Raw genomic sequence first — 20,095 nt, 5'->3', positions numbered from 1 at the left:
ATTTTCTATTTTAATTTATTAATAAAATGGCATTATTTTCATTGTTAGAAAAATCTGAAGAAAACCTGGAGGAAAGAGCAGAAGACTCGTGGGAAATAGGGCTGGCCAAGCAGGAAGCTGAGTGTGGCCTCACCCCTTCTCAGCTTACAGCTTTAAGTTCCCACTCCTTACCTGATGCTCAAGGCCCCACAAAAATCACCTGGCTCCACTATTTTGGGTCCCTAATTCTCTCATACAAACTAGTTGCTACTCCCAGGTCAGCTCTCTCCCCATCCACTGAGCACACCTGGGGAGTCTTGTCTCTATGCCTTTGCTCTGAGTGAGTTCCTGGAAGACATGTTCTCTTCAATGCTGGACCTCCAGTTCCAAGTTGTAGAGCTACTGCAATCTTCTCAGCACGTGATGCTTTTGCTGGCTACCTCAGTCCCCAGTAGCTCTTCTTCCTGTAAACTCCCACAGTGCTTAATGCCAGGTTCCACTTGGCACTTACCTTTGTCCTGCTAATTTTGACATCTGATATGTTCAGATCCTATCAGCCCAACTAAACCGCCTGCTCCCTGAAAGAAGAAACCAGATTCCTATCTTTCACTTTGTAATTCCCCAAGGGGCCTAGCATGGTTGTTTTGTGTTCTGAACCTCAGTGCATGACTTTCTATTTATCCCTTTAAATTGAAGGACAGAAAGATAAAAGTAGAGGGGAAAAAAGAGAAAAGGATAAATTGTGTAGAGACCACTCTGCAATACCTTTAGGTATCTGGACTTTGAAATGATAGATTATGACCTCAAAAGAAAGTATCAAGATGGAACTTCCTCTTTTCTCTGTGAGGCATTCAAGCAGTGTTTCTGGTCCCTTGCTTTTTCTTTTTGACAGGGATATACTTGTATACCATCAAACGTGGCCCAGAGCCTACACAGAATACCAGTTCACATTCCTTTTTCCTCTGCATTATCTCCACTAAGGTTACCTCAAAGCTCAGTCAGTACCAGGAGAAGCAGTCACATTTTGCTATGGTCCGAATGTGTCCCCCAGAGTTCATATGCAACTTAATCACCAATGTGAGGATATTAAGAGGTGGGGCATTTAAGGGGTGATTAAGTCATGAGTCTGGAGCCCTCAAGAATGGGATTAGGACCCTTATAAAAGGGTTTGAGGGAGTGGGTCTGTTCCCTTCCCCGCCTTTTGTCTTCTGCCACGTGAGGCCACAGTGTTCCTCCCCTCCAGAGGATGCAGCAGCAAGGTGTCACCTTGAAAGCAGAGAGTCTATGCCCTTCTAGAACCTGCCGGCACCTTGATCTGGGACTTCCCAGCCTCAAGAACTGCGAGAAATAACTTCTATTGTTTATATATTACCCAGTGTGAGGTATTTTATGACAGCATCACAAGTGGACTAAAACACGCTTCCTATATACTAGCTCTGACCAACAGGGCAACAGCTTCAAAAGCAAATCAGCCAGCTTTATCACCACAGGAACTAGCCCAAAGATGACTAGATATACAAAGCAAATCATCTTGGTTTTGCCTGAAGTCACTGTTCATGATGGTTCTTAAATTTGGTTGCATATTAGAACCATCTGGAGGGCTTTTAAAAATCCTTATGCCTAGCTGGACCATTTAATATGAATCGCTGGGAACAAATCTAGGTGTTAGTGTTTTCGAAAGTTTACCAGGTAATTTCAATAGACAGCCAAGTCTGAGAAGCAGTGGTTTAATCAGATCCATTAGCAATGTTCATTCCACAGTGGTAATGTTAGAAAATACTGGCCCATTTGGAAATGAGCAGTGACTACAGACGGCAATAAAACTTATTTTCGATTACTCAGACGGCTGGATATCTAGTTTTCAGTTAAGCCAATCTTTAGTGCTTCCATGTTTTTCTCTGCCCTGTAGGCCCTATTATCATCTCTACCTAAAAGTCAACAAGAAGAGCCTAGAAATGACAACACTACATTTCTGTTTCTTATGTAGAGGAGCTCCCTGTGGTTCTTACCCCTGACTTTTCATTAGAATCATCTGCAATATTTAAAGTACCAATGCAGGGCCCTAATCTCAGAAATGCTGGCTCAATTTGTGTAGAGCTGTGATTCTTAACTCATCACCTGACAACCCTTTAGAAATGCAAATTCTCAGGCCCTATCTCAGACCCACTGAATCAGAAATGTGGGTGAAGAAGTGGGTGGGAGCAGAAATCTATGTTTTAATAAGCCCTCTGGAGAATGATGCTGCTGCTGAAGCTTGAAAACCACTGGTCTAGACAGGGCAAGGCTTTCAGTGATTTCTTTGAAAAATTCCACAGGTGTTTCTACTGGACACACTAGGTGGAGTGGAGGCTCCTGGGTTAGAGTACTAGCTTGGATAGTTGACATGTTTCCTTTAATTTTGGTTTCCATGCTCTCCCAATTTCCAATCCTCCACAAGAGGCAGAATACCATTCACTGGGTTAAGTATGAGAACTCTTATATAATACTCGTGTTATACTGAAAAATAATGGATTTGGTGTGGTTGTGTCCAAGCCATTTTAACAACTGAATTAGATCAGCAGTGAAACCCATCTAACTATTCACTCGAACATTTGTCAATAAAATTCCCTGTGCTCATTATCTCTACCCCCACCAAATAAATAGACTTTCCTCCAAAGTAAAATAGCCAGTTAACAGTGACTCTGTAGCCAAATATAACCATCTATTTCTTTTTGATAGGATAAAAGAGACATGAATATAATGGGTATTTATTTTGAAATGGGCCTTTCGGTCAAAATTCCATGCTTCAGTTCAGTGTTCATCTCATCCTTCAAAAAAAACTTAATAGTTTAAAAATCTCAGGGATTTTATTTGTGCAATGATGACATTCAGAATTCTAAATTCTAGAGACTGCATGAAAGTCTCTGGCAAGATATGTAATCAATGGAATCTTTATATGAACATCAATTCATACATTACATAAAAGAGGTTACTATGCACTGACTAATGCCTCAGAGTGGCAGACAGACTGGCTGTTCTCTTTTCCTACATTTGACTGGGCCCGGGGGTACAGGCGAAGGTATCACCTCCTGTGGAGTGCCAAAAATACTTCATGAGAAAGGAAACAATCCTATGGCTCAGTTTATGTCTCTGAGAATCTCTGATAAGTTATTGGTGTGGTACAAAAGATCTAATAGCCTTAGACAAGAGGAGCAGCTGAGATTGCAAGCATGCCTCTCTTTATACATCACCAAAGTCAAAAGGGCTGTTCACTCACGGACAGCCCAGGGGACCCCAATCAGTCTACTGAGAGTTTACCTCGAGGGCAGTAGATGTCTGGAGCCCATCGGTTGCACTCATAATTGTCTGCTGCCTTTTCACAGGTGAAACATTTAAATCCACCAGGATATGGTGTGGCTAAAAAAAAGGATTAAGAGAAAAGATTAATTTTTAGACAAGGCACAGAATCCTGTGAAGTTAAGACATTTTCATTATTTTAAAGAAAGGATTCTCAAGACAACTTAGCAGTTTCTTAAACCTTCAACTACCATATGACCCAGCAACTTTACTCTTGGGCATCTGTCCCTGAGAAATGAACATTTGTATACATGCAAAAATCTGTACACAAATGTCAACAGCAACTTTATTTGTAATAGCCCAAAAACTGGAAATATCCTCGATGTCCTTCAGTGGGTGAATGGTTAAACAAACTGTTGGACATCCATACTATGGAACATTAGTCAGCAATAAAAAGGAATGAACTATTACTACTTTCAACAACTTGGGTGAGTTTCCAGGAAATTATTTGGAGTGAATAAAGCCCATCCCAAAACGTTATATATTGCATGGTTCCATTTATATGACATTTTTGAAATGATTAGTGGTTGTCAGGGGTTAGGGATGGCAGAGGTGGGGGTAGGGGTGGAGAGGTGGGGAGAGAGGTGGGTTTGAGGCCAGTAGGAGGAACCCTTGTGTTACTGAAATTCTTCAGTGTCTCAACTCTGGTGGAGGATACACAAACCTACACATGATAAAATTAGGTAGAACTAAATGTACACACACAGAGTAAAATTAGGGAAATCAGAATGACATTGGTAGACCGATTGTATTGATATTAATATACTAGTTGTGGTATTATGCTATAGTTTTTCTTTTCTTTCTTTCTTTTCTTTTTTTCTGAGTTTCACTCTCGTTGCCCAGACTGGAGTGCAGTGGCACAATCTCAGCTCATGGCAACCTCCATCTCCTGGGTTCAAGTGATTCTCCTGCCTCAGCCTCCCAAGTAGCTGGGATTACAGGCATGTGCCACTATACCCGGCTAATTTTGTATTTTTAGTAGAGATGGAGTTTTACCATGTTGGCCAGGCTGGTCTTGAACTCCTGACCTCAGGTGATCCACCCACCTTGGCCTCCCAAAGTGCTGGGATTACAGGTATGAGCCACCACACCCGGCCTATGCTATAGTTTTTCAAAATGTCACCACTGGGACAAACTGGATAATGGGTACATGGGATCTCACTGTATTATTTCTCAAACTCCTGGCCTCAAGGGATTTTCCAGCCTCGGCCTCCCAAACTGCTGGGATTATAGGCATGAACTACCACACTCAGCATCATGTACTATGTCCTAAAATTGCATATGACTTTAAAATTATCTCAATAAAAATTTTAATTAAAAAGGCATTCTCTGGATTTCTAATAACTTACTCATGTCAACTTATACACAAATGTCAACATGCAAATAAAAATATTGGGTTGAATCATCATAAAATTTCCTGATGTTTGACCATTTCAATCTACAAAAGTGGCAATTTCTCTGGTACATTGTAAAATTTTTATCTGTTCAGACCTGATGTCATTATGAACCCCTGGAGATGGTAAGCCTTAGCTAAGAGAAGAGTCTTCATTGCTAAAATATATGCTGCCCATGCAGAGGTGACCCTCTTCAGGTGCCTTTCGGACCCATGTCCATAGAAGCTAGATGCTGGGGGGATGTGGGGATGAGGCACCAGAGGCTACCAGTTCTAGCCTGAGGACTAGGCCATTCCAGGAAGCCCCACTTATCTCTTCCTACTGCTCCCACTGGTGAGTTGCCTCTTCCTGCCTTCAGAAGGAACTGTCCTCCAAGTGCTTTGATTCTTCACCTATATGCTCAGGTGAGGAGGGGTCACATGAGATTTGAGCTCTGGAGGCTGTCGCGGGCACCCAAGGCCTTCTCTCCACAAAAAGATGAGGATCACCGAGGAATGTCAGGCCCAGCTGTTCTTTGTCCTTACTACTGATGTGCATTTAATTGCTTCTTAGCTCTAATCATTTGCTTGCTTCACTACTTAGAGTTTTGCCTTTCATAAACAAAACTTGTGCTGTTTAATTTGTAAAATTACCTGGCCTATTTGAAAGCTGCAAACACTCAAACACTTCATCTGCAGGAGCCAACTGTTCTCTCTCGCAGATGGCTGAGCCTGCATATCCCACTGGCGGAAATAATCATCTCAGGGTAAATTGCTCTGCCCACATGGAACCAATTAGATATGTTATCAAAAATAAATGAAGGAGAAGGCAGTAGCTTAAGGCCAGAATGATGGACCAGATATCACTTTGATTTTCACCTTGCCGAGAATAGCTGCCCATCCATGTACATGCTTGCATTACTTCACAGACCTGACTATGACAATATCAAATAATGTGTCATGATCAAAAGTCATAAACAGTCTAAAAAAGACAAGTAATCGGAACTTTTTATGGGCCCATCTGCGTGCTCTCTCTCACATAGTAACTCAAATTCATAAACAGAATGATAGAAAAAGTGCATAGATCATTTTACAAAATGATGGAAAGCAGCTTAGACACAGCCATCCAACCACTCCATTTTCATGAGGAAATTTTAATAGGGGGAAAATGTCATATAATTGTGACAAAGAGAAGTATTTTGTAAACTATAAACAAATATTTTTTATACCTTCACATTACCCACCTATAGAAAAATGGGTTACATTTGAATTGAAAGGTTCTATTTTGGTAAGGGCAGGTGTACCTTGTTGTATCACCATTCATTTTAGCACACTTTGCAGATATTGTATTTTTACAAATTGAAGTTTTGTGGCAACCCTGCATTGAGCAAGTCTATCGGTGTCATTTTCCAATTGCACGTGCTCACTTCATGTCTGTGTCACATTTTGGGAATGCTTGCAATATGTCAAACTTTTCCATTACTTTTGTATCTGTATGGTGACTTGTGATCAGTAATCTCTGAAATACTATTATAATTGTTTGGGGGCACCACAAACTGCACCCACATAAAATGGTGAACTGAATAAATGTGTATGTTTTGACTGCTCCATCCACCTGCTATTCTTCCATCTCTCTCTCTCTCCCTTTCCCTGCCCCAGACCTCCATATTTCCTGAGATACAACAATACTGAAATTAGGCCAACTAGTATCCCTACAAATGCCTCTAAGTGTTAAGATGAAAGGAAGAGTAACACAATTTTCACTTTAAATCAAAACCTAGAAATGATTAAGACTGGTGAGGAAGGCATGTTGAAAGCTGAGATAGGCTGAGAGCTAGGCCTCTTGTGCCAGTTAGCCAAGTTGTAAATATAAAGGAAAGGTTCTTGAAGGAAGTTAAAAGTGCTACTTTAATGAATACACGAATGTTAAGAATGTAGAACAGCCTTTTTGCTGATACAGAGAAAGTTTGAGTGGTCTGGATAGAAGATCAAACCAGCCACAGCATTCCCTTAAACCAAAGCCTAATCCAAGTCAAGGTCCTAACTCTTATTAGTTCTATAAAGGCTGAGAGACATGAAGCTGCAGAAGAAAAGTCTGCAGCTAGCAGAGAATGGTTCACAAGGTTTAAGGAAAAAATCCATTTCCATAACATAAAATCATAAGGTATAATGGAAAGTGCTAATGAAGAAGTTGCAGCAAGTTATCCAGAAAATCTAGTTACGATCACTGAAGATGATGACACTAAACAGATTTTCAGTGTAGACAAAACAGCTTTATATTGGAAGAAGATGACATCTAGGACTTTCATAGCTAGAGAGAAAAGTCAATGCCTGGCTTCAAAGGACAGGCTGATTCTTTTGTTAGGTGCTAATACAGCTGGTGAATTTTAAATTGAAGCCAATGCTAATTTATCATTCTTAAAATCCTTGAGACTTTAAAAATTATGTTAAGTCTACTCTGTGCTCTATAAATGGAACAACAAAGCCTGGATGACAGCACATTTATTTACAGAATTGTCTACTGAATATTGTAAGCCCCTTTTGGGATCTACTGCTCAGAAAAAAAATATTTCTTTCAAAATACTACTGCTCATTGGCAATACAGCTGGTCACTCAAGAGCTGTAGGAGATCTACAAGGAAATTAATGTCGTTTTCATGCCTGGGAACCCAACATCCCTCCTGTAGTTGATGGATCAAGAAGTCATTTTGAGTTTCAAGTTTTATTGTTTAAGAAATATATTTGTAAGCCTATAGCTGCCATAGATCATGATTCCGCTGATGAATATGAGCAAAGTAAATTAAAAACCCTTCTAGAAAGGATTAATCATCTAGGTGCCATTAAGAACATTTGTGATTCACAGGTGGTCAAAATGTCAACATCAACAGCAGTTTAGAAATACACGATTCCAACCATCACAGATGACTTTGATTTCAACAGAGAAAGTAACTGCAGATGTGGTGGACACAGCAAGAGAACTAGAATTAGAAGCGGAGCCTGAAAAGGTGACTGAACTGCTGTAATCTCATAATAGAAGTTAAGTGAATGAGGAGTTGGCTTCTTATGAACGAGCAAAAAAAAAAGCCGTTTCTTGAGATGGAATCTACTCCTGGTGAAGATGCTGTGAACATTGTTGAAATGACAAAAAAGGATTTAGAACATCATAGAACTGTTGATAAAGCAGTGGCAGGGTTTTGAGAAGATTAATTCCAAGTTTGAAAGAAGTTCTGCTGTGAGTAGAATGCTGTCAAACAGCATCACATGCTACTGAGAAATCTTTTGTGAAGGGCAGAATCAGCTCATATGGTAAACTTCATTGTTGTCTTATTTTTAAAAATTGCCACAGCTACCCCAGCCTTCAGCAACCATCACCCTGATCATTCAACAGCCATCAATATCAAGGCAAGACCCTCCACCAGCAAAAAGATTGTAACTCACTAAAGGCTCAGATGATCTTAGCATTTTTAGCAATGAAGTCTTTTTAAATTAAGATACGTACATTGTTGGTGGAACATGGTGGCCAACGATGTAATCTCAGCACTTTGGGAGGCCGAGTCAGGTGGATAGCTAGAGCTCACAAGTTCGAGACCAGCCTTAGCAACATGAAGAAATCCTGTCTCTACTAAAAATACAAAAATTAGCCAGGCGTGGTGGCGCACACCTGTGGTCCCAGCTACTCAGGAGGCTGAGGTGGGAGGATCGCTTGAGCCCAGGTGGCGGTGGCTGCAGTAAACTGAGATTGCACCACTGCACTCCAGCCTGGGCCACAGAGCCAAGCCCTGCCTCAAAAAAAAAAAAAAAAAAAAAGATATGCACATTGTTTTTTAGACATAATGCTATTCCACACTTAATAAACTATGGTATAATACAAACATAACTTTTATATGCACAAGGAGACCAAAAAATTTGCATAACTTGCTTTATTGTGATAATTGCTTTGTTGTGGTGGTCTGGAACTGATCCTGCAATAATCTCTAAGGTATTCCTGTACATGGCTGAAGAATTAAAAAAACAAAAACAAAACAGGTTCTCAAACGCCAAAGCCATGCAATACTCTTGCAGATATTTTAATTAATCATATAAAATATTTTAGGAAATTGTCCTGACTGGATACATTAAAAAATAGTTTCCCTATCAAGTTTAAAATACTTAATATATAAACAACTTTCAAAGATTGGACTTTAAAATAGCTTGTAAAATTTGAAGTGGAATGATCAAAGTAGACATTTTGGAAAAAAAAAGATACAAAGCATTTGTCAGAGAACAGCATTTCTCAAAAAAGTGATCATCATATTCACCAAGGTTTATGGCTGCAAGCTACTCGTACCACTTCAGTTTGCATGATTAATTCACTGGGGCATCCAATTTTATCTGTCTGTCACTGCAGCCAGTAAAATTTTTGGATGGAATACTGAATTAGTTATTCCTGGAAACTTTCCCATCAAAGAGATAAATTAAGAATTCTGAATGAAGATTGACGATCCAGCTACTCCAAGAACAAACTTATTGAGACCCTAACACTAGTAAGTTGTAGTGTTCACAAATTTGAATTACTTAATAGACTTTTCAAAATGATCTTTTGTGAGACAAGTGACATACTATAAACACTTATTTCTTACATAAGAGGCCTGGATTCTGAAAATGAACCCAAAGTATATTGAAATTTAAACAGGAGTGGGAACTAAAATACTATGGCAGCAAAATGAAGCTTTGCTTAAATTCTTTTACCTCTGAGTTTATCAGCACGTATCGTTGACAACCAAATTATCTCATTTTTGGTGAGTTTTCTTTTAGAATCTACAGCTCCATATCTGTGCACATTCTCAATGGCTAGAGTTTAATATTTGCTTGTAGGAACCTTTACTGACATCTTGGCAGGAAATACCAATTAGTGAATAATCACACCCTGATTAATGACAAATCTCTGCAAACATACTGCTTTCAGTGGATAATTAAGGTATAATACCAAGTAAATGGTTAAATTCTTCCCTCTTGAGATATTTTGCCAGAAATGAGGTCTACAGATGAACAACTATCTCCAGTAACTTGCTAATTGATACTGCATCTGATAAAGAGGTTTTTTTTTTTTTTTTAAAGGACGGAAAGAGGTTCCTAAGAGATGTGCTATTTGCTTCTTTGTTACTTCAAAGCATTGTAGAGCAAGCGGAGTTTCAAATTGTTGTGGCCCCAGCTGTGAATGAATCTAATTTGGCTCTTGATCACAGAGTTAATAAGCTCAGTACTCTGTATTTCAGGGCATAAGTCCTTGGTCCCTTAAGAGAAGGTGATTGTAAAGAAAAAAAGAAACGCCAAAGTGCCCAGTTACTTCCTGTAAAATAATCTGTCCATTAACTCTCATGGTCAGCCATAGTTCAACCGACCATAATTTATTTGTACGGTATCAGAAAAGATTTAGTCTTTGTTTCCATCTCTTGGAACTTTTGCCTAGACAAAGGCCTTCAGTTACCAGAACCGTGGTGAGAACAGACTTTTGTTTTGAAAGGTATGCTGATGTGTAATGCATCCAAACATTTTTCTATCCTTACCAAATTAACTTCCATTGTTTCTGAAAACTGGATGCATATATAAAAATTCTAGAAATCTAATAAATGTATCTTTTTTCTCAGTCCACTTGGCAACAAAATATTTAAGTATAATTTTAATATGCACATATTTCTGACAGAAATAAATACATTATCTGGTACCTTCCTAGAAAGTCCCCTTACTCTCTAAGACTTACGTAGTATAGTCTGAACAAACTTATTTGGCTCTCTACATGGGCACAAACAAGCCCCCACAGGAATACAGCTCTTTGGTGTACATGATTAAGGAAAGATTCAAAACATGCAACCAGAGGAAAATTGGATATTCTTAGGAAAGGTTTCTTTCTATTCTAAGGAAAGAAATGGAGGCTAAGAATAGGTCGCAGCCACTTAGTATATTAAACTCTGCTATCTCTTACTATGTCTGACTACCAAATAAGCAGCTCTATTTCTCTTAATAGTAACTCTTGTTTTGAAAGTTCTTATTTGATTTGGTATTTGAATCATAGGCTGGGAAGAAATTCATTTTTCACATAAAAACAAGCAAAGAAAAACTCAACAACAAATGACACAAGGATTATAGAAAAGAACATTATTGACGACAGTGCTTCAGGTTTGAAAGCCATGAAGTTTCTTTCTTTTAAATGTTCAGAAACTTCAAAGATTAGGAAACCAGGGAGCAAAAAAGATGAGTCATGAGAGGCTGAATTTTCCCAGCCTGGTGTTCCAATCTCTCCCCAGTTATTATCAGTGATGGCTGTTCTGGGCATCGGAATGAGGAGAAAATAGCTTCTGTTTGTCTGGTACAGAAAATGTGTGTGTCTTCTCATATCTCCAGCATCACCATATTTCTCCTTCAGCAGGTTCCGAGCTTCATGTTACACATTGTAACATTAATGAAATGTGGCTCATTCACAAAAGAATGCTGTTTGTGCCTTCATCTACAAAGTGAGGTGACTATACAAATAATTCAAAATCAAACTAATCCCATACTTCCCTCATATATTTTTTACGGTCTATGTTCAACAGATACCTGCTTATTTGTAGAGACTACAGCTTAATATGGTCTAGTGCTCAAGGACATAGAACCACGCCATTTAAAAAATCAAAGTGTGAAAACACACACCACAAACTTCTAAAATAGTTCAAAGAAATTAGAAGTTAATACTGATTTAAAAGTGGACAGAATAGGCCAGGCGCGGTGGCTCACGCCTGTAATCCCAACACTTTGGGAGGCCGAGGCGGGCAGATCACAAGGTCAGGAGATGGAGACCATCCTGGCTAACACGGTGAAACCCGTCTCTACTAAAAATACAAAAAAAAAAAATTAGTCAGGCCTGGTGGTGGGCACCTGTAGTCCCAGCTTCTCGGGAGGCTGAGGCAGGAGAATGGCATGAACCCAGGAGGCGGAGCTTGCAGTGAGCCAAGATCGCACCACTGCACTCCAGCCTGGGCGACAGAGTGAGACTCTGTCTCAAAAAAAAAAAAAAAAAAAAAAAAAGGTGGACAGAATAAACGAAGTTCTGGCCAAGTAGGAGCCATTCATAGTAACTTCACTCTAACAACAATTTACACAGTATTCCCATCATAAGTTATGGAGGGAGACTCTAAAGAGAACTTGGACCCTGATCTGCTGGTGAATCATCTACTTATAATCTCACTTAGGAACAACTTCCATCCTTCTCCATATCTCAAAATCATATCAGAAAACCTCACCAATTCTTTTTTCTTTTACTTTTATTTGCATTTGTTTTATGCTGCATTTATTTCCAATGTCATACGTTTTTGTTTCTTCAGTTTCTTCCGGGATATCTTTTTCTTCTCTGCAACCCCCTCTTCTGGTTTAGGAACAATTTGATTCTTTTCAGTAAGGGTCACCTCGATGTGACAGGGGGAGCTCATGTATGGCTCTTTAAGTAAGTTCAGCCGTGCATCTTGGATTACTTGTTCACCTGGATAGGCTCAGTGACCAGGGAATCTACATCTAAACCCCTAAGTACAGCATGATTCTGTGTTTTAAAGCATGTGCAGCAAAAGATCAGCACTCTTTTCAGGCCACTGATCCTGTGTTCAGCCTCACTGTTTGGCCTGGGCACAGCTACCAACTCCACCACTGTAATGTTAGAATGGTAGACATTATTTTTGTAAAGTGACATCTTTCAGACAACTCAGTGGCTTTTTGTACATGCATACGCTTGATGGTCTGGGCAGTTTCACAGGTGTTCTTAAAGTGAACATGAAGATTTGAACCCTGATTTGCATGATTTGGTTTTCCAGGTCAAATGAATAGTGAACCATTTTTACAGATCACCTCAGGCCAGTGAGGGGAAGAGGAAGCCCTACTAATTCTTTACATATGGCGAGTTTCTTCTAATCAGGCCATGGCTTTACTTAATTAACATTGGTCATATGAGCAGAACTTTTTCATCAACTTTTCAAGAGCAGAAGTGATTTCCCTCTGCTTGCAAGGCTCAGCCTTCAAGACCTCCTTCTGAAATTGAATTTCCCAATAGAGACCCAACACACAGGGCACTGACCCACCACACTACTGAGGCAGAAGTGGTGTGTATGTTGTTAAATCCAGTCACCTTAATTCTCCTTCCCACTCTGTGTGTACAATCACAGCCTCCGTGTAGGTCCAGTGTGGACCTTTTCTGCAGCCCAGTTACTACTGAGTCTGTCACTGAAGTTGAGAAGGAATCATACAGAAGCTGAAAACTCTGGCAATCAACCCTAAGAGACAGAAACCTAGGTTTTTGATTCACCAAGTCTAATAAAGTAGCATGCCTGCTTGGAGAAAACAGCAAAATGCAATCTAGAAAACAGAACAAATATTAAAGCACCTTCTCTTCATGCATATTATTAAAATAAAATCCCCACAAAACAAGCAGCCAGATAAGTCTTCCATACGATTAACCAGTGGGCACCAGACTATACTGATAAGAGGGTACAGAGACAATAGAAATCTAAAGAAATTATTTGCTGCCTATTAAAAGTATATGGGAGTTATACAACACTGGAGCATTGTATTCTCAGCACCCCCAGTTTACTAAGCCAACGATAATAAAAACAATAATGTAAACAACCATTTGATTGCCTGGTGTGGTATAGGCCTAGTGTTTTACAGATATTATTTCTGCTCCATAAAATAATGCTAACGAGTATGTATTATATTACTTTACCACTTTAGAAAAGACAAAATTAACACAAAGAATTCTCCTAACATTGATTGAGCATTTCCTATGTCTCACACTCAGTGCTAAGTGCTTCATACACATTTTTAATTTAATCTTCACAATGATAGGGAATTTATTTTAAGTCAAAAGGCCACAAAGCAGCTGAGCTAGTTGCTGACCCTAGGTCAGGTGGACTCCAAGCCCCAGGGCATTCTGCATACCACCTCTCAGCTAACCCAGAACAAGCAGACATTAAATATTCCAACCACGTGGATTGAAGGAGTCCACATGGCTGCCTTCACTTTGTAGACTATGTGATCCTCAAAAGCAAGGACTGTGTTTGATTTGCCTTTATGCTTTCAAGCCTATCACAATCCTTGACACACAGTGGACACTCAAACTATATTTGTTAAACAGAGCATTTCAAAAGAGTAATGCACCTTGGGGCAAAAGCCGAAGGTCAGAATATACACAATACAACCAGCTCTCACCTCAACAGGGGCAATACAGAAGAGGATTCATACAAAGAGACAATAAATACAAAGATAGAGACCAAAAGAGGAAGTCAAACTGCTGTGTTTCCTAAAGCGTGATCCTTAGAATGTCTGCAGCAGAAGTACTTGAAGTTCTTGCTGAATGCAAAAATGCACAGGTACAGCCTGAGATACATGCAAATCAGAAACTCTAGGGCAGGGATCTGGGCATCTATGTTATTAAGCATTCCCTAGATAATTCTTAAATATAGGAAACCAAAAGGAGGCACAGGACATTGGAAGTTGTGGGAGGAAATTACACTGAAATTGAGAATTAGATGCACAGAGAGGAAGACCAGCTATTATCTTACGTATAAAGGATTGATCTTTTACAAACAATCCTCCTTCTGGGATATGGTGGTTCACTTTAAAAGCTGACTTAGGACTGGCATGAGTACAAGGGGAAGAGTGTTCAGAATCAGAGTGATTGTGTAGGGAACAGAGAAAACAAGCCCAATAATTTGCCTTAACACCACCAAAAATCTTCTTGTGAAAAGGTGAGGGTAAAGCATAAAACATCTTTTGTAAATTACCGCACCACCCCAGTTAAATCACGGGAGGTTTTCACTATACTGAAGGATGCCTTTTCCTGGCCAGTTTTTGAACCACTTCTTATTTGAAATAAAGTGATATTTCTGCAGCAAAGAGAACAGTCTTACTTGAAGGATGGAGGTAGATAATGTCTTTCACTGTGAAGTCTCGGGACTGAGCAGCTTTCAGACAATCCGCCAGCAGGCTCAGGAGCAGGAGCCAGGCCAGAGCAGGGCCAGGTTCCATGGCAGACTGAAGTGTCACTCATACAGAGGGCCTGGGAGTGGGCACTCAGGGCAACAGGAGAGAACTTGCACCTGAAAAATGAAGAAAGAATCATCTCAGTGATCGACTGGAGAAAGCCACAGGAGGCTTGGCTGAGCTCCCATGCTGGTAAGATGGGATGGAGAGCAACAGGGCACAAGGAAGTGGGTAGACATGGAGAGAAACTTTATCAACAGTAATTTTAGAGCACTGAGAACATTCCAGCCCAGATCTAGTCTTAATCAGGTTGCTAAGGCTCCACTGGTAGCCATCCCCTCTCATATCCAGCAGAGATGGTATCAAGAGAGACTGAATTTTAACAAAATCCAGCTATTTTTTGCTAGGAGGCCAGGGGATGGCTGCCAGAGTACGATAAAGAAGTCAGGAGCAAAAGCTCAGAAGCATTTCCCTGAGAATGGTGCAGGTCAGATAGGGAGTTCAGCCATACTGGGCCACGGGTGTCCATGCAAACCTGTACAGGGCAGACTTTCAGATTTAGGAAAACAAACAAATACAGGAAAGCTGACCTCTCCAAAATTAAAAAGTGCCTCCGTAACACAAAATCTCCTTAATGTAACTAATATTTGTTGGCCAGGTACTACTGAAGTCCTTTATGTATATCCATTTATTCTCCCAGCAACCGTATGAGGTAGGCATAATTATTAACCCATTTTGGGTAAACTGGGGTTCAGCAAATAAGTAGCAGATCTGACTCTAACCCAGGCAATGTGGCTTTGGAGTCTGCACAGTTAAACACTAGGCAATTCTTTGTTCTTAAGACTGACTTAAGGTGTATTTAAAAAACGGATTGGATGGGCGTAGTGGCTCATGCCTGTAATCCCAGCACTTTGGGAGGCCAAGGCCTGGATCGCCTGAGGTTGGGAGATCGAGACCAGCCTGGCCAATACAGTGAAACCCTGTCTCTACTAAAAACACAAAAAATTAGTTGGGTGTGGTGGCAGGCACCTGTAATCTCAGCTACTCTCGGGAGGGTGAGGCAGGAGAATCGCTTAAACCTGGGAGGCAGAGGTTGCAGTGAGCTGACTTTGTGCCATTGCACTCCAGCCTGGGCAACAAGAGTGAAACTCCATCTCAGAAAAAAAAAACCAAACTGATAAGATTGTGTTATCGCTATAGCACTAAGTGATTACTATCTACTGTGTCCTTTATTCTGATTGTCCTTTTCACTCAAAATTAAGGAAAAGACAAATCTGTAATAAGCCTGAATTGCTCTGCTTACTGGGAATGCAGAGATCTGTCTTAATTTTTATATAGGTGCTATTCTCTTGCTATCTTCTTGGTTTCCTATAAAGCTTATTCCTCATGTTCTACTACTTTTCCAAGTACCATTATCTCTATTGCTCTGCAAGGAGTCAAGGTTACTCATTTTATTTTAACCTAGCTGAAAACAAACAGTTTTGATATTTTGTTTAATATAAATGTTCAACAAGATTTTTTAAATAGCATAATTACTTTGTAAAAATACATAGGCAAGGAAATATATTATGAAACAGAAACTCAGTACAGAAAATCAATACGACCCAATCAGATCTAGAATATACTACAAAGCAAAATTAATCAAAACACAATGATAGAAGGTATAAAAATGAACTTACAAAGTAGAACACTCTAAGGAGCCCAACAGACCCAATTGTTTATAGGGTGCAAGCAATTGTTCAAAATTACAGAATGGGACCACATTAAGTGAATAGTATTATAACTTTTTAAAATATTTTTTTAAATAGCTGAAACCATAAAATGCATAACATGCTAAATTACTTCCAGATGTGATTATTCTTTTTTAATTGGCAAATTGTTAGACAACAGAGTAGAGCTCTCTTATCACTTGTAACAGCTTGATAATGCCAACCTTGCTAATTTCATGCTCACTACGCCATCTTCTGTTTACAATTTAATTCCCCAAGCAAACCTGGCATTCAGGAAGAGAATGGGCCACTCAATCACTTAATAAATGTGACTGCCAGGCACTGTGCTGGGCACTTGGTTGAACAACATGATGAAAAAACAAGTATCCACCAGTATCTTTCCCTTGCAAGTCAGCAGCCAAGTGACAGAGACAAACATCACTTCATCTTGAATGAATTCAACAGTGCTTCTTTCCACATCCATCTGGCTTTTCTCTGCCAGCATGGTGAGGTTGGTAAGGTGAGGCTGCACCTCTGGGACAGGTCTGCACAGCATCCCATGGATACCTGGCAGCACTATGGCCAATACCCCCATCTCCTCCCAATCTGTACGTAGCAGGGCTCAGTTTGAGAGTCAGAGATCAAAATGGAATGAACATTATGTGTGTAACTGTAAACATAAATGTGAACAAATGCACAGACAAAAGACTGGAGAGGAAAATACAAAATTAAGATAGTAAATCCATGGTGTATGAGTTAGCCCAGGCTGCCGTAACAAAATACCATAGACTGGGGGGCTTATACAACAGAGATTTCTCACAGTTCTGGAAGCTAGGAAGTCCAAGATCAAGGTGTCGGCAAGGCTGCTGTCTCCTGAGGCCTCTCTTCTTGGCTTGCTGATGGCTTTGCCCTACATGCATAGTCCTGGTGTCACTTCCTCTACTCATAAGAACCCAGTCAGATTGGATTAGGGTCTCAGCTTTATGGCCTCAGCCTTAATTACCTCCTTAAAGGCTCAATCTCCAAATATAGTCACAATCCAAGATACCAGGGGTTAGGCTTCAACATATGAATTTTGGGGGCACACATTTCAGCCCACTGCATGTTTTCTGTTGTTGTTGTTTTGTTTTTTAGGTAACATTTCCTCCCACAAGACATGTCCCAGTGATGATGATGTTTCATAATTTTAAAAGAGTATAATTGATCTGAGGTGACACAGAGTACTGTAAACTCCTTCCCAGGTTATAGGACCATGAGCTCCTCAGGACAGGAACTTGCCGTGATTATCCTTACTTTCCCTGCCTCAGACCCTGGCCACAGAGAGGGTTCTGAGAGCCTCTGTGGGAGTGGATGGGAACATTTATGTCAGACTATTCTAATACCTCAGGGTTGGCCTCTTGCCCTCCACTCCCTTTCTTCGTCAACTCATCCTTTGTTTTGCCATAAGAGATGAGTGATAAAAACATCATCACATCTGCTAAAAATAAAAATCCAGATCCATGCTATAGAAAAAGACTTAATTTGAAGTCATGTATACTATATCTTTTATGACCAAAAATATGAGCAGATGGGAGTGAGAAATGTCTTGAAGGGATAGTTAAAAATTCACAATATCAAGAATATGAAAAATTATATTCATAGTAAAGTACACAGTAAAGCAAACTCATGGCAAAGTTTAAATCGATGAGGATTAAGTATAGCAGAACTTTTGTTCTGGTTACTTTTTGGAAAAAAGTAACGACTTACAAAACTATGTGGCATCACTTCAATTTTTAACTTACTCTTCCATGTAACCTTATGCAGCATTTTCCATTTTTGTTTTGTTGCCTTTAATAGTGTGTTTAAATTGTCAAACATGCTTCCCCCCTCCCTCCATCATACTACTTATTTATCGTCTAATTGGTTTGCAAATGTCTATGTGCAGAACTAAGAGTGATCATGGTACCTCCATGGTGCCTAACATAGATGACGGGCTGACAGGTGCAGCAAACCACCATGGCACATGTATACCTATGTAACAAATCTGCACGTTCTACCCATGTATCCCAGAATTTAAAGTATAATAATAATAATAAAAAGAAATGGTGGGAGATGTCTTCACAATATATCATGATTCCACATCCTTTCTGATAAAATTATACACTAATGCTAATGATATATTAAAGGACAATACCAAAAAGCCAAGGCTCAGGTCAAAAAGGAGATGGATATTTTTACAGACTAGACACAGAGTACATATACAACATGGGGAAAATGCCATAGGGCTGCTGGGAAATGGACCCAGTAGCAGGGATGTGGCTGCAGGAACTTGGCCTCTGTGGAGAATAGTCTTACATGTCTTCATGTGAGATAGGGAACTAAAACCAGGCTCACAGCATAAAACTAGGGACTGGAGTACAGCACTCTGCTCATAGAAGCTAAAAAACCCAAATGGCCAAAAACCCCAAATGGCTACAATTGCTGCTTGAAGCTATGCCTCATAACAAGCAGGGTGCCTCATGAGAAAACAATCAAAGTTCCTGCTTTGCAGCCAGGAACTAAACCAAGTCCCCCACAGCTTTCCTGACTGTATGGCAATATCTCCATACCAAAGAAAAAGAATTTTTACTTGTATAAAAGATGCTGATGGAGGTCAGGAGCACATTGCCTTGTATCACCTTCCAAGGCCATGTCCTGTGTGTGCACAGGATGGTGGATCAGCGTGGATGAAATTAAGCAACTATTTCATTCATTACAAGATATCCACCTCTACTCATCACAGGAAAGAGCAAGCTGAATTCATTAGGCCTGATTTCTTTAGCACAAGTTTTCAAATTTGGGGGATTCAAATAATTTTTTAACCATGAATTTCATGTGTTTAATGCTGAATTTCCAAATTCTTAAAGTAGTTGAATTTTAATTCTCACAATACATTTTACTTGTGAAATCATTTCTTCTTTGGAAAAAAAAGAGTATGTCTTTTCTAGGTTTATGTGTAGTTAGTAAAAGGACTGAAAGGATAGACACCAAAATAATGTAGGACTTAAGGAGTGTTTTAATATTCATTTACATATTCAAAACATCTTAATGAGCATGTATTATTTTATAGAGAAAAACTTTTAATAACATTTTTCAAAGAATGAGTTTGACAGACTTACTTTTTATGCACAAGTCAGTCAGCTTTTCACCTAAAACCAATGAACATAACCTCAAAATAGTCATGTCTTCTAAAATAATAGATTCAATATGAAACAGAATGTTCTCTCTTCTCATCTCTTACCATGCCCTCCCCTGGTGTCCTAACACTATTTGGAAGATGCAAGCCTAAGACAATGAGGGAAAGGGGGAAAAGAGAGATGGAAATAAATCTAGAAAACAGGAGGCAACGTGCTCATAGGGTACTATGCTGCTCACCACCTCAAATGACACCACAACGGTAGAAGATTAAGAGGAAGGCCTGCACCTTGGTGTAGCCCATGGAAGGAGAAAGAGACAAGTCATCTACCTGGTTCCTTCCTGCTTGATCACCACTGATCAAGCTTCACTCCACAAGGAACTCCCTCCCTCCCCTACGCTTCAGCAGCCAGAATGGAGGGCCATAACCCAGTGTGGACGGACCTCTGATCAGGAAACAGAAAGAAAGCACCTGGCACAGAAATCTGAGGTTTCTTTTATTGTATGAACATACTATGTTTATCCATTATCAGATGATAGACATTGGGTGATTTTCACTTTTT

The 20,095-nt window shown here is 39.8% G+C and overlaps 1 protein-coding gene and 1 pseudogene across 5 annotated transcripts in view, besides 1 other annotated feature; both read right to left on the bottom strand.

Annotated features, from left to right (window-relative positions):
- LYPD6 (LY6/PLAUR domain containing 6) overlaps positions 1-20,095 on the bottom strand; it is a 156,394-nt gene that overhangs the window by 33,955 nt on the left and 102,344 nt on the right. For all 5 annotated transcript variants that reach the window (NM_001195685.2, NM_194317.5, XM_024452699.2 and 2 more), the window contains 2 exons: positions 14,598-14,786; positions 3,277-3,375 (listed from right to left, as the gene is read on the bottom strand). In NM_001195685.2, the coding sequence (NP_001182614.1) occupies positions 3,277-3,375; positions 14,598-14,715 (217 nt within the window). In that variant the 5' untranslated portion in view covers positions 14,716-14,786. The remainder of the gene's footprint in view (positions 1-3,276; positions 3,376-14,597; positions 14,787-20,095) is intronic.
- Positions 1,739-2,279: an enhancer, noted in NCBI's record as "NANOG hESC enhancer chr2:150306659-150307199 (GRCh37/hg19 assembly coordinates)". NCBI's record gives its function as "activates a minimal SCP1, AML or CMV promoter by ChIP-STARR-seq in naive and primed H9 embryonic stem cells {active_cell/tissue: H9 hESC(naive and primed)}" and the evidence as "EXISTENCE:reporter gene assay evidence [ECO:0000049][PMID:30033119]".
- On the bottom strand, positions 11,997-12,527 carry RPL17P13 (ribosomal protein L17 pseudogene 13; annotated as a pseudogene).

Source organism: Homo sapiens, chromosome 2 (genome assembly GCF_000001405.40).
Source record: "Homo sapiens chromosome 2, GRCh38.p14 Primary Assembly".
NCBI lineage: Eukaryota > Metazoa > Chordata > Mammalia > Primates > Hominidae > Homo > Homo sapiens.
The sequence above is the reverse complement of the archived record's forward strand: the minus strand, read 5'-3'. Positions and strand labels throughout refer to the sequence as shown.